This window comes from Homo sapiens, chromosome 9, assembly GCF_000001405.40.
Source record: "Homo sapiens chromosome 9, GRCh38.p14 Primary Assembly".
NCBI lineage: Eukaryota > Metazoa > Chordata > Mammalia > Primates > Hominidae > Homo > Homo sapiens.
The window spans coordinates 100,403,267-100,418,787 of NC_000009.12; the positions used below are offsets into that span (position 1 = coordinate 100,403,267).

Here is a 15,521-nt window from a genome sequence, read left to right on the forward strand (position 1 = left end):
TTTGGATGGCACACGGGACAACTTCATGGGGAAAAAGCACATCATTGATGACTCTGACTCAAAAGGGATTCAGAAGAGTCAGACTTGCTGACCTAATGTGAAGTTTTTTGTTTTTTGTTTTTGAGATAGGGTCTTGCTCTGTTGCCTGGTCTGGGGTGCAGTGGCGAGATCTTGGCTCACTGCAACCTCTGCCTCCTGGGCTCAGGTGATCCTCCCACCTCAGCCTCCTGAGTAGCTGGGACCACAGGTGTGTGCCCATGCCCGGCTAATTTTTTGTATTTTTTGTAGAGACAGGGTTTCACCATGTTGCGCAGGTTGGTCTCAAACTCCTGAGTTCAGGCAATCCACTGGCCTCAGCCTCCCAAAGTGCTGGGATTACAGGTGTAAGCCACTGCACCTTGCCTGTGAAGTTGTTTTAAAAATACCTTAACTCATTTATTTCCTTTATATTTTCCATTTTGTGAGTGCAAAAGAAAGTGATATGTGACTTATAAATCTAGGTTAAATAAGTCTAAAAGATCTCTTTCATTAAATATAAATATATATTCTACATAATAAAGTATTGTGCCACAGTTCAATTGGCAGCATTTTTTTTTCTTATTGGTATACAAAATAATGTTGGGTCTTACAATTGATGTCACATTAGAGTCAATGAAATACAGTATTATACAGTGTGTTTATTACTTTTTAAAAAAAAATAGAGATGGAGCCTTACCATATTGCCCAGGCTGGTCTGGAACTCCTGGGTTCAAGCAGTCCTCCCACCTTGGTCTCTCAAAGTGCTGAGATTACAGGAGTGAGCCACCGTGCCTGGCCTACTTTATGACTTTTAAACACCATTTATCAAAATTAATGTTCTAGTGAACTCCCTCATACATGCCTCTTTGTGTACATCTGTGTCTCTAGAATATATATATGTATATAGGTGTGGAATTTCTAAATTGAAAGGATTGCACATTTAAAATCTAACTACTGTCCTTCAAAAAGATTATATCAATATAAATGTGCACTAGTAATGTATCAGGGTATCCATTAAGTGACACAAAGCATGTTTTTTATTAATAAATTTTTCCTAATCTGATCCTGAAAAATGTTATCTCATTTGTTTTAAATTGCTTCTCATGTATTTTTGTCTATTATCTCAGGCAGAAGACAATTCTTACAGTTAATTTCCCATTATTTTGCATTTGCATAAGATATTCATTAAGATTATAAACACTTTTCATTTCTGCTTTTAATACTGGTATGATTTCTTAATGTTAAGCTCCATCTGGAATTTATTTTTGCCTTAATGTAAGGTAAGTATTTGATTTCTTTTCCCAATGAATAAATAGTTGTTTCAATATCATTTATGGGCTTGTACATCCTTGCCCATGTGCTTAGAAGTATCTGTTTATATTTGAACTCTATTCTGTTTCTTTGCTAAAAATTTCCATTTCTCTGGAGTAACATACATTTAAAATTACTTATCTTTATATATACGTTTTTTTTTTGTTTGTTTTTTTGAGATGGAGTCTCACTCTGTCGCCCAGGCTGGAGTGCAGTGGCATGATCTCGGCTCACTGCAACCTCTGCCTCCCAGGTTCAAGCAATTCTCCTGCCTCAGCCTCTGGAGTAGCTGGGATTACAAGCACCTGCCACCATACCTGGCTAATTTTCTTATTTTTTTAGTAGAGATGGGGTTTCACCATGTTGGGCAGGTTGGTCTCGAGCTCCTGACCTTAAGTGATCCAGCTGCCTCAGCGTCCCAAAGTACTGGGATTACAGGCATGAGCCACTGCACCCAGCCTCTTTATACAATATTTTAATATCTGATAAAGCAAACCCCATCCATTCATTCTTTGCAAAAGTCTCTGGACTACTCTTTTTTTGGGGATTGTTGGGGTCATGCTCTGTTACCCAGGCTGGAGTGCAGTGGTGTGAACACAGCTCACCGAGACCTCCACTTCCTGGGCTCAAGCAATCCTCCCACCTCAGCCTCCCAAGTAGCTGGGACTACAGGCATCCACCACCATGCCCAGCTAATTTTTGTATTTTTGATAGAGACAGGGTTTCACCATGTTGCCCAGGCTGGTCTTGAACACCTGGCTTCAAGTGATCTGCTCACCTCAGCCTCCCAAAGTGCTGGAATTACAGGCGTGAGCCACCGTGCTGGGGCAGATAACTGTTTCCTATAACACAATTCACTAACTGGACAAAAAAAAAAAACAGTCAATAAATTGGACTTCATAAAAATTTTAAAATTTCGTTTATTAAATGACACTTTAAAGAAGTGAAACAGCAACCTACAGACTGGAAAAGATGAAGAACAGGTAAACAGAATATCTAAAGAACTCTTACAAATCAATAATAAAAAGACAAACAACCCAAGTGTTTAAATGGGCAAAATGAACAGATATTTCACACACAAAATAGATATCTGCTAAATGTATGAAAAGTTGCTCAACAAATTAAAATCATAATGAGAGACTAACACATATTCATCAAAATTGCTAAAATTTAGAAGACTGGTAATTCTAAGTATTGGTGAGGATGTGGGGTAATGGGAAAGAGTGTAAAATAAAACAACCATTTTGGAAAACTGTTTGGTGGTTTCTTTTTTTTTTTTTTTTTTGAGACTGAGTCTCGCTCTGTCGCCCAGGCTGGAGTGCAGTGGCACGGTCTCTGCTCACTGCAAGCTCTGCCTCCCGGGTTCATGCCATTCTCCTGCCACAGCCTCCAGAGTAGCTGGGACTGCAGGCACCCGCCACCACGCCCAGCTAATTTTTTGTATTTTTAGTAGAGACGGGTTTCACTGTGTTAGCCAGGATGGTCTCTATCTCCAGACCTCATGATCCGCCTGCCTCGGCCTCCCAAAGTGCTGGGATTACAGGCGTGAGCTACCGCGCCCGGCCACTGTTTGGTAGTTTCTTAAAAAGTGAAACATGTACTTACCTCATGATGGAGGAATTCTACTCCTAGGCATATCCAGGGGTGTCCCATCTTTTGGTTTCCCTGGGCCACATTGGAAGAAGAAGAATTGTCTTGGGCCATATATAAAATACAATAACAATAGCTGATGAGCTAAAAAAACAAAAAAGCAAAAAAACCCTCCTGTTTTAAGAAAGTTTACTGTATTTCCAAAAAAGACTTGTGCAGGAATGTTTATAATAGCTTTATTCATAATAGCCCACACTGGAAATAACCCAAGTGTCTATTGACAGAAGAACAGATAAATAAATTGAGGTGTATTCACACAGTAGAATACTATATGGCAATATAAAGAAATGAACAGCTCATACACGGAATGAAAGAGTACGCACTGCATGATTCCTTATAAGAAGGTCAAGAACAGACAAAACCAAGCTATGGTGATAGAAATCAGAATAGTGGTGTGTCTCGTGGGGTCTGGGGGGAAGATGACAGGAAGGAGACATACAGGAATTTCCCGAAGTTAAGGAAATTTCTTCACCTTGATCTGGATGATGGTTGCACAAGTGTATATATTTGTCAAAATTCATCAAGCTTTACACTTAAATGTATTCATTTTTAATACATAAATTACACCTCACCAAAGTACTGTTAGTATAAAGAGGTGGAGAAAGGTGATGGTAGGCATTTGTGTGATTTCTGAAGGGGAGTACAAGGCATGTTAATTGGCTCTAAAAGTTGATGGCATTCATGTGGAGTCCTAATTAGAGAAAGGGAGTCAGGCTGGTGGGAGCAGGGGAAAGCAAAAAGAAAAAGCAGATAAGCTGTGAGTCTGCCTTTCTTCATGGTCCAGGACACATAGCCCTCCTGCGCAAATAGCTCACAATCTTCCTGCACCCAGCTATCACCAGTCCCTCAGCTGATAGAAAAATGCAAGTTAGTTCACTGCAACCTAGCCATTATCTGTACTGCACATATCCCTCTCCAGCACAAGCATCATCCTATAAAACCCAAGCAAGCCTCTGTCTCTTTGCAGTCAGCTCCTCTCTTGCTGATCTGCCCATTGCCTTCTTGCAATGCATTTTTACTACTTTCTCTCATATACTGCCTTGGTAAATTCTTTTTTTTTTTTTTTTTTTTTTTTTTTGAGATTGGGTCTCACTGTGTCACCCAGGCTAGAGTACACTGGCATGATCTTGGCTCACTACAACCACTGCCTCCCTGGTTCAAGCGATCCTCCCTCCTCAGCTTCCCAAGTAGCTGGTATAATTCCAGCATGTGCCACCACACCCAGCTAATTTTTGTATTTTTAGTAGAGATGGGGTTTCACCATGTTGGCCAGGCTGGTTTCAAACTCCTGAGCTCAACTGATCTGCCCACCTCGGCCTCCCAAAGTGCTGGGATTACGGGAGTGAGCCATGATGCCCAGCCTGCCTTGGTAAATTCTTTTTACCAACTGCGTCACCAGCCTCAGATAGTTGCAGCAACTCATTCTTAAATCTAAGTTTATTCTGAATCTATTTTATTTTCTTTCACTGTTATCTATTATTAGTATTCATTTCACTTGATAACATCTATTTCCAGAATCAAAATAGAACTGAGACAAGGAGAGAGAAAGAAAAAATACATAATGTAGTATTACAGAGTTAGGAATAGGGTTAATTAGTCAAAAAAAAGTTTGCAATAGAATTAAATAAGTTGCACGTACTGACAAATATAGGAAAAGAAGTATTTCTCTGGAGGAAAGGAAGCAGATCTTGGAGGAAGTCTTTAGAGAGAAAAAAATGAGCTGAGAGCACTAATTAGCTGTATATGACCTCAGGGAAGTCACTTAACCTCTCTGGGGATGATTCTATTTTACAGATTTTTTTTGGTATGTTAAATGAAAGAATTGAATTAAATGAGCTCAGAGCATCCTATTAAAGTACAATATGATAATTAATATTCCCAAGTCATCCAGAAAAGTCTAATTTGTGTTCTCTGTATTTTGTTTAATAAAGCTGAGAAGTTTGGAAAACATTTATTTGTCATGATAAATTGTTATTGATACATTGAGTGTCCACCTCGTGCAAGTAGTGTCCTAGGCAATATACTTTCATTGTCTTGTTTAATTTATACTTTAATTAATTAATGGATTTTATAACTTGAATAATTGGATCAATTAAAAATGTCTTAAAATAACGTGTATGTATATATATTATATATCTTTATTATCATAAAAATGTAATATTATTGCAGAAAACCAGGAAAATAGAGAAAATCATATACAAAAAAGTAATTCTGTCACTCTGAAAGCAACTATTAACATTTTGAAGCATATCTGTTGAATAGAGACAAATATTAGTTAAGATTTTTTAAAATAAAATTGAGACCAAATTCAACATATTTCTATCCTGTTTCTATTTTCAAAAACATGCTTTTTCAGTAACCATATAGTATTCCATTTTATAAATATAAAGGACTAGATAATCCTTTTGGTTGGCCATAAATAAAAGTTTTGACACCAATGATGTAAACTTTAGTTACACCAAAAATTCCCCAGGGCAATGTCGCAGTCAGGGTCCCCAGAGGAAACAGATGGCAAACAGCAAGAGGGTAATTTGAAAAGTGTTAAATACAAGAACTATTTACAAAGGAGTGGGCAGGGATTAGGGGAACCAGAAGTAATAATGTAGTATGTGATAGCACTGTTGATGGTACCCCTTAGCTTGGAGGAGCGAGAGGAGGCAGCAGTTCCTAGAACTTGGAGACAAAGAAACCTCCATGGAGACAGCTGCCTGACAAAAGCTGTAGCTGGCACTTGGTTGAGGGAGTAGCCAGCGTGCAGCGACCCAGCTTGGAGGTGCAGGGGATAAACACCTTGACACCCTCATTTGCTCTGAGGGCCAGGGAGGCCAGGGAGATGTTGGTGTAGTCCACACAAATCAGCCTGCTTAGCCACAAGGCATGGCAGAGAAACGTGAAGAGTGCACCAGGAGGAGCAAATGGAGTTCTGAACACACACTTTTACTTTGATCACGCTTACTTGGCAGAATTCATCTTTGTAATGACTTGATCTGGGAGTCAGAGATAGTTTCTCTTAAGAAGTGATGTTAAATCTGAGACCTAGAGGATGTGTAGTTGCTAAGAATATGAAGAACAAGGAAAATAATACATGAAGTAGGGGGAATAGTATGTGCAAAGTCCCTGTGGTAGAAGGGTGTTTTTAAGGAACTGAAAGAAGGCCAGTGGGTAAGACAGAAAGACAAAGTGGATAGAACAAAGTAAAATAGAGTGAAGATTTTGGCAGGGCAATATTGTAGGTCCCACTAAGGATTTTGGTCTTTAACCTTGAAATGAAAGTAAATCATTGACAGGTGTTAGGATCAAATGGCAGATTAGATTTGCATATTAAGAATATTATTATTCTGCTCTGGGGAGAATGGATTGGCAGACAAACAAAAATGAAATTGAGGTGAGTATAGTATTAATCCAGGTAAAAGTTTGGATTAAGGTGCTGGTAGAGATGGTGTGACACAGACAGGTTTGAGAAATGTGCGGGACATAACATTGACAAAACTTGATAATATATTGGATATGAGAATGTAAGGGTGGGGATAGTGTCAAATAAATCTACCAGATTACTATGCTTGCTTATAAAACTGGATGGATGGAGCCGGACACGGTGGCTCATGCCTGTAATCCCAGCACTTTGGGAGGCCAAGGCAGGTGGATCATCTAAGGTCAGGAGTTTGAGACCAGCTTGGCCAACATGGTGAAACCCCATTTCTACTAAAAATACAAAAATCAGCTGGGTGTGGTGGCACGTGCCTGTAATCCCAGCTACTCAGGAGGCTGAGGCAGGAGAATCGCTTGAACCCGGGAGGTGGAGGTTGCAGTGAGGTGAGATCATGCCACTGCACTGGGCAACAGAGCAAGACTCTGTCTCAAAAAAAAAAAAAAAAAAAAGCAAAAACAAAAAACTGGATAAATGAAAAGCTTTTTGGAATTGGGAAATTATAAAATGGTGTATATAGATAGATAGTTGGCTATTTCTTTTCTTTTTTTTTTTTTTTCAGACAGAGTCTTGCTCCGTCGCCCAGGCTGGATTGCAGTGGCGTGATCTCGGCTCACTGCAAGTACTGCCTCCCAGGTTCACGCCATGCTCCTGTCTCAGCCTCCCGAGTAGCTGGGACTACAGGCGCCCGCCACCACGCCCGGCTAATTTTTTGTATTTTAGCCTGTGAAACAGGGTTTCACCGTGTTAGCTAGGATGGTCTCGATCTCCTGACCTCGTGATCCGCCCGACTCGGCCTCCCAAAGTGCCAGAATTACAGGCGTGAGCCACCGCACCCGGTCAGTTCGGCTATTTCTTAATGAGTTAGAGACCATATGTTCTAGAAATAAAGTGGTTGTGAAGCTGAACAATGAGAACAGAAACCATTTCTACAATTTAACACTTGTTAAGCAATCAGAGGAGTGGTAGGTGTCAGGAGGAAGAACTGGGAGAGAGAGGTTAGAGGACTGACATGAAGCAGACATTGAGGAAAGAGGAATTTATGCAATAATGGCCCAGGTTGCTGCAGATGTGAGAAAATATTCAACTTTTGAGAAAACATAATAGAAAAAAAATAGTTTGGCACAAAAATACAAATAAGCAAGCAAAACAAAATTACTACTTTTCTTCCCCTCCCTCCCCCACTCCCTTTTCTCTTTCTCTGTCCCTGGGGACCAGCGTTAAGGATCAATGGTCTGCCTTCGACAGTCCCCATCCCTAGCTATTTGCTCCTTTGTTGAGTGCCCCCTTTCCTCACCTTATCTTATGAAAAGCGTTCCAACCCTCCTAGACTGTGAGCTCCTAGAAAGCGGACTTAGCCTATTTTTGTATGCTATATATCACATAGCCTACTGTACAGAGTAGCTGCTCATTTGTGTTTCTTATATTGAGGTAAATCTGAATCTTACCTGGGCCAAACTCTGCGTTAGGATCTGGGTATTCAACTGTCAGGGGACTCAAGTGTGAGCAAGACCTTGTCTCTACCATCCTAGATCATACAGTCTTAGGAGGACATTGACACTAAAAAAGGCCATTACATGACCCTCAGATGAATGCGCATGGGGTAAGTACGGGTCCTCTGGATAACAGAGGAGCATGGAATGGTAACCCTAGAGACAACCTGGTGCCATTCCTGCTAGATACCGACATCTCCTATATGAATTTTGGTGGTGGGGTGAGGGGATAGGGAAATGGGGGCTGTGAGCAAGGAGGGAGGTTCCAGGAACATCTTTCACATCCCCTAGTCCCCATTTCCTTCATGAACTGCTGTATCCATCAAGTGCGGGTACGCAGGGAGCACAGTCGTTGTGCCAGGTGGGTGCCAGCACACAGCAGTCATTGACATTGTACAGACTTCTGGAGTAAATGGAGGGATGGATGAAACACTTGTGCAATCGAAATTTTTGCGACTCCTTCCATTTGACAAGTACGGTCCACGCCATTCATTCCCCAACCCAAAGCCCGCGAAGCCCCGCAGCTTACACAGAGGCCCCGCCCAACCGCCCCGCTCTGCGCGCTCCCTCAGCTCCAGCGCAGCAGCTCTGGGAGACACGCTGAACGGTAGTCAAGTTCCGGGTCACAGTGCGCTTGCGTAGGAGGAGCCAGTGGCGAAGAAGGGGAGGAGCTCGCGAAGCTTAGACTGCAGTGACGAGGAAAACGTGGATGGGATAGGAGCAGGAAAACCTCTAGGGCTCTGTGGGGTTAGCGCTCTTGGGGCCGTTTAGTGGGTGTCCCGGGGGTACTCAAAGAGAACCCGTCAGAGACTGACCTTAGTTTACACACGATGCGTCTTTTACTGCTCACATCGAGTCTATTGATTTTGCTTTTTTTTTTTTTCAATTACTTTAGTGGTCAAGAATTGCTGCTTTGCAGTGAGACAGATCCAGATTCCAGTGTCTGGTGTGACTGTGTGTGGCCTTGGGCAAGTTATCTGTCCAAGTTTCAATCGCTACCTGTATCAAATGTAGTTGATTGTAGTTGTGTGCATCACAGGGATTTTGTGAAGATTAAATGACGTCGTATGTATCAAGGGCTTAGCGCACTGCCTGGTACGCAGAAAAAGCCCAGTAAATGGCAAGTGCTATTATAACCATTATCATGAGGTTGGAGGATCGCTTGAGCCTGGGAGGTTGAGGCTGCAGCGAGCAGTGATCGCCCCACTGCCCTCCAGCCTGGGCAACAGAGTAAAACCCTGAAAAAACAAAACAAACAAACAAAAGCCCGGGGGAAACAAATCAAATGTCCCCGTATAAATGATAAACAAAATGTGGTATATACGGAACCTTATTCAGCCTTTAAAAAGAGTGAAATTCTGATGCAAGTTACAACATGGACAAACCTTGAAGACACTATGCTAAGTGAAAAAAAACATACACAAAAGAACACATGTTGTATGATTCCAGTTACATGAAGTATCTGGAATAGTCAAATATTATACACAAAGACAGATGAATAGAATAATGGTTACCTGAGGCTGCAGGTAGGGCAGAAATGAGGAGTTAGTGTTTAACAGGTGCAGAGTTGAGGATGATGAAAACGTCTGGATGGATGGTGAAAATGGTTGCACAGCCATGTGAATGCACTTAATGCCACTGAACTGTACACTTAAAAATGGTTAAAATGGGCCGGGCGCAGTGGCTCACGCCTGTAATCCCAGCACTTTGGGAGGCCGAGGCGGGTGGATCACGAGGTCAGGAGTTCGAAACCAGCCTGACCAACGTGGTGGAACCCCGTCTCTACTAAAAATACAAAAATTGGCTGGGCGTGGTGGCGCGCACCTGTAATCCCAGCTACTCAGGAGGCTGAGGCAAGAGAATCGCTTGAACGCGGAAGGCAGAGGTTGCAGTCAGCCGAGATCGCGCCACTGCACTCCAGCCTGGGCGACAGAGCAAGACCTCAAAACCAAAACAAAACCAAAAAATGGTTAAAATGGTAAATTTTATGTATATTTTACCACACAAAGAAAAGGAGAGGAAAGAAGCCCAGGAGCAGGCAGCGCACAGCGGGAGTGCATGGCAGCTCAGCTCAACAATGCTCTCAGGCGCTTAGGGTCCTTCTATCTTTCAGTTTACCACTCCCAGCATGTGACTTTTGTCCTTGTGGTCATAAGATGATTGCTGCTTCTCGAGGAATTGTGTGCATGTACTAGATAAGAAAAGCCAAAAGTCATCTTCTTGTGAAGTTTTATATTTTCATTCAAGAAAAGGAGCCTAAGGGAATACCCGCCTGCTACTCATTGACAGGAATTTTATCAAGTTGACCTCTCAACAGGAGTCTGGGAAAGTTACTTTTCAAGTGTCTAAAGTATAGAATGGCACAATAAAGGGGAGCTGTGAGGTCCCCCTTATCATGCCATTCTATAGATACTTGAAAGGTAATTTCAAGTATCTAAAGTATAGAATTTTCAAGTACAGAAAATTTGAGGCCGGATGTGGTGGCTCATGCCTGTAATCCCAGCACTTTGGGAGGCCAAAGTGGGCGGATCACCTGAGGTCAGGAGTTTGAGACCAGCTTAGCCAATATAGTGAAACCCCATCTCCATTAAAAATACAAAAAAATTAGCCGGGCATGGTGGTGCGAGCCTGTGGTCCCAGCTGCTCCGGCGGCTGAGGCAGGAGAATCGCTTGAACCCGGGAGGCGGAGGTTGCAGTGAGCCGACATCGCGCCACTGCACTCCAGCCTGGGAGACAGAGAGAGGCTTTGTATCAAAAAAAAAAAAAAAAAAAAAAAAAAAAAGGAAGAAAATTTGAGTAGCCAAATTTTCAGGGAATGTCCCACAAACATAGAGGTTTATTTTGCTTTTTTCCATAAATGTGCTTATACTGCATATTATTTTTTGCAACTTGCTATTTTTTCTTAGCAATATGAATTAGAATTCCTCAGTTCCTTTAGCTGCTGCAAAATACTCTTGTTTCTAAGGCACACTTTTTTATTCACATTTTATGATCTCTCAGATTGGTATGCATCTTACAGTTGCTGTCAGCTAGCAAGGCAGCAATAGTGATGTGGTTGTCATTGCCTGCTGGGTATGCATCAAAACTTGCAGAATGGAGGTTAGCAGCCTGGCATATTGATGATTCTGAGTCTAAACATTATACAGAAGGTTCAGACTCTGAGAAGAGGATTTAGCTATATGGTAATCAATTTATTTCATGAATCCTTTTAATTTATGCATAAGGATAATATGGAACTAAAGATGTCTTAAGCCTTAATTAGCTTTTTCAATAAGTATAAAATAAAAATTATAAATGGCAAGAAAGCTTTGTGTCATAGCTTAATTAGGATCATTTTTCTTTCTTAATGATGTATGAAATAACGAAGGCTATAGCGGGTCACATCCTCGAGTTAATGAAATACAGTGTTCTTTTTTTTTTTTTTGAGACCGAGTCTCGCTCTGTGGCCCAGGCTGGAGTGCAGTGGCGCGATCTCGGCTCACTGCAAGCTCCGCCTCCCGAGTTCACGCCATTCTCCTCTCTCAGCCTCCTGAGTGGCTGGGACTACAGGCGCCCGCCACTACGCCCGGCTAATTTTTTGTATTTTTAGTAGAGACAGGGTTTCACCGTGTTAGCCAGGATGGTCTCGATCTCCTGACCTCGTGATCCGCCCGCCTCTGCCTCCCAAAATGCTGGGATTACAGGCGTGAGCCACTGCGCCCGGCCGAAATACGGTGTTCTAAATATGACTATTCCATAGCTTATTTAATCATTTCCTTTTTGATAGAAGTTAGGTTTAATGATGCTTTAGGAAACCCTTGTGCATGCCCTTTTTTGCATATGTGAAAGTAGTCGTTCTCTAGATACCTAGGAATACACATTTTAACATTCTGAGAGCAACTGCCCTTTAAAAAGCTCCTATCGATTTACACTTCCATGAAAGAACCCATTTTTTCCAAACAGTTTTACATTTTGGTCAATCTGGTATCTGAAAATAGTACATCATTGTTTTGATTTTGTCTTTTAGTGTTGTTAAGGGTGTCTATAACATAGAAGCCAATTTTTAAAAATCAACTTTTTATTTTTGTGTAGTTTTAGATTTACAGAAAAACTGTGAAGATAGAACAGAGTACTCCTATATATCCCACACCTAGTTTCTCTATTGTTAATATCTTACATTAGAATGGTATCTTTGTCACAATCAATGAACAAATATTGATACATTATTATTAACTAAAGCCCATATTTTATTCAGATTTTCTTCATTTTTGCCTAATGTCCTTTTTCTGTTGGACAGTCCCATTCGAAATAGCACATTAAATGTAATCATCATGTCTTCTATACCCCTCTTGGTTGTGAAAATTTCTCAGACTTTTATTGTTTTTGATAGCCTTGATGTTTTCAGGAGTACTAATTAGGTATTTTGTAGAACGTTCCTCAGTTGGGATTTGTTTGGTGTTTTTCTAATCATTGGACTGGAGTTTGGGTTTGGGGGCGGAAACCTGAAGAGGTAACTCTGATCATACCATTTCAAGGGTACAGATTGTTAACATGACTTGTCACTAGTGATATTAACCTTGTTCATCTGGCTGAAATAGCGTTTGTCAGGTTTCTCCATGGTAAAGTTACTCTTCTTTTTTCCCCCTTTTCTATACTGTACCCTTTGAAAGGCAGTCACTGCACAATCCATACTTAAGGGGTGGGAATTTATGCTCCACCACCTTAAGGATGGAGTATCTTCACATATTATTTGGAATTCTTCTGCATAGAAGAGTTGCCTACTCTTCCCTATTAATTTAATTAATGTGTTTATTCCATCATTTATTTGTACAGTATGGGCTCATGGTTATTTATTGTATACTTTGAGTTACATTAAGAATTCAGTGCTACTTCAGCCAGGCATGGTGTCTCATGCTTGTAATCCCAGCACTTTGGGAGGCTGAGGCAGGTGGATCATGAGGTCAGGAGTTGCAGACTAGCTTGGCCAACACAGTGAAACTCCGTCTCCGCTAAAAATAAAAAAATTAGCTGGGCGTAGTGGCAGGCGCCTTTAATACCAGCTACTTGGGAGGCTGAGGCAGGACAATTGCTTGAACCCGGAAGGCGGAGGTGGCAGTGAGCCGAAATTGCGTCACTGCACTCCAGCCTGGGCAACCAGAGTGAAACTCTGTCTCAAAAAAAAAAAAAAAAATTCAATGCTACTTTCTTTTGTTGCTCAAATTGTTCTAGTTTTGGCCATTGGGATCACCTTCAATTAATTCCTGTGTCCCTTCAACACATCTCCAAAATTGTGTACATATTTTAGCTCTTCCTTACTTTCTTTTCTTGTTTGTTTTTTTGAGACGAAGTCTCGCTCTTGTCCCCCAGGCTGGAGTGCAGTGGTGTGATCTCAGCTCACTGCAACCTCTGCCTCCCGGGTTCAAGCAATTCTCCTGCCTCAGCCTCCCAAGTAGCTGGGATTACAGGCGCCTGCCACCACGCCCGGCTAATTTTTGTATTTTTAGTAGAGATGGGGTTTCACCATGTTGGCCAGGCTGGTCTCAAACTCCTGACCTTAGGTGATCCGCCCGCCTTGGCCTCCCAAAGTGCTGGGATTACAGGGGTGAGCCACCGTGTCCGGCCAGCTCTTCCTTACTTTCTAACTTTAAAAAATGCACAATGCTTATCTTGTATATTTCCTACCCTAGTTCTCGAATCAGCCATTTTTTCAAAGAATCCTGGTCCCTTTTATTGGAGAATGCTATTAGAAATCAATATCTGGGCACTATGTGTATAGAAATGATTTTTTACATAGTTATATTTATGAATCTTGTTCTGTATGACTTTGCTTGTAGTATTTTACATAAGAAAGTACAGTAAGTCCTCACTTAACATTGTCAATAGGCTCTTGTAAACTGCAACTTTAAGCAAAACAACATAGAAAACCAATTTTTTTCTCATCAAAATTAGAAGAAAACGATGTTGAAAGACACATTATTCAAGGATCTGCTTTTTGTATTTCCTTTTCTGATAACACAAAGAAGTGCTCTATTTTATTTTAATACCTAGCTAATGTTTTTTACATGTAGCTTTAAAATGCATCTGGAATCTTTCTTTTTATGTGATGCGGAGTAGGAATGTTATTTCTCTGTAAACAGGTAATTAATTATCTCAACTCCATTTGTGGACTAATCAATCTTTTCCTCTATGGTCTAAATGTATGATATTTCTACATGTCCAAGAGTCTTTTCAGGGTTCTATTTTATTCTTTGAGTTTAATTGTCTAATCCTGTTTAGAGACAGGCAAATTTAATTTCTATAAGTTTGTAGGATACTATCTGATAGAATGAGTGCCATCTTGAATCTTTTGCAAAATGTCTTCACTATTCTTGAACATTTTCTCTTGGAGATAAATTTTAGAATCAACTTATCAAATTGCACGTTTACCATGTGCAGTTTTAGCCATTGTCAATTTTATTTTATATTAATTCTTTCTACAGAAATATTTATTATAAATTGGACACAATACTGACAGTTTATATTTAATTCTTAACTTATGAAAACACTGTAAGCAAATCCTTTCAGATGCTACAGAAGAGTAACATCATCTTGTCATCTTCCATTGGTGTCTTGCTTTTTTAGCTTTGCCTATACATACTAACTACTCATTTTGTGGTAGAGTTAAGAACAATAGGTTAAATTATAATGTCCTTCGTTTGTTGGGCATGGCGGCTTATGCCAGTAATACCAGCACTTTGAGAGGCCGAGGCAGGAAGATTGGGAGGCCAAGGTAGGAGGATTGCTTGAGGCCAAGAGTTTGATATGAGCCTGGGCAACATAGCAAGACCCCATCTCTAAAAAAAAAATTTTTTTAATTAGCTGAGCTCAGCAGTACTCTTCTGCAGTCCCAGCTACTCGAGAGGCTTAAGCCTAAGAGTTTGAGGCTTCAGTGAGCTATGATCATGCTATGTGCCATTGTACTCCAGCCTGGGTGACAGAGTGATACCCTGTCTCTAATAAATAAATAAATAAAAGTCCAAAATTTCCTTGTGTGGGAATGTGCCCAGGTCTAAAATGTTTACCAGTTTTAAAACTGTGGAGTCAAAATGGCTTGCCAAAACCAAACCAAACCAAAAATCATCAAACAAAAATGCACATCAATACAATGCTTTATCAGTCCTATGAAATACCATAGTTTATTGATGCATTTCCCTATTGATGAACTTTTAAGTTCTTTTCAATGTTTCTCTCTCTCTCTTTCTTGCTTTCTTTCTCTCTCTCCCTCCCTCCCTCTTTTCTCTCTCCCTACCTCCTGCCTTCCTTTATTGTCCATAATCAAAGCTGCCATGAACATGGCTGTTGGTAATCACAGGCAAGTCTTTTTCTAGAAAAGACACTGAGAAGTACAATGGCTGAATTAGAAATTTGAGTGAAAAGATGAGGGTGGTAGCAACTGATGTTGAAACAGCTGTTAGGGATCAAAACCAAACTCTTTGTTTTTCAGACATCAATCCTCTTCCTCAAGGTTTCACAGCCTCTTAGTGGCAGACCGGCTCTAGTAATAAAGAACAATTTCAAGCAGCTTTATAGAAAGTAACATAGGTTTGCAGCAGCAGTGGTGGCAGTCTGTGCAGGCTGCTGTTGCCTCTGAGTCTAATGCTGAG

At 40.9% G+C, this 15,521-nt stretch overlaps 1 annotated feature.

Annotated features, from left to right (window-relative positions):
* Nucleotides 8,366-8,455: a silencer, noted in NCBI's record as "silent region_20134". NCBI's record gives its function as "represses an Ori minimal core promoter by ATAC-STARR-seq in GM12878 lymphoblastoid cells {active_cell/tissue: GM12878}" and the evidence as "EXISTENCE:reporter gene assay evidence [ECO:0000049][PMID:35858748]".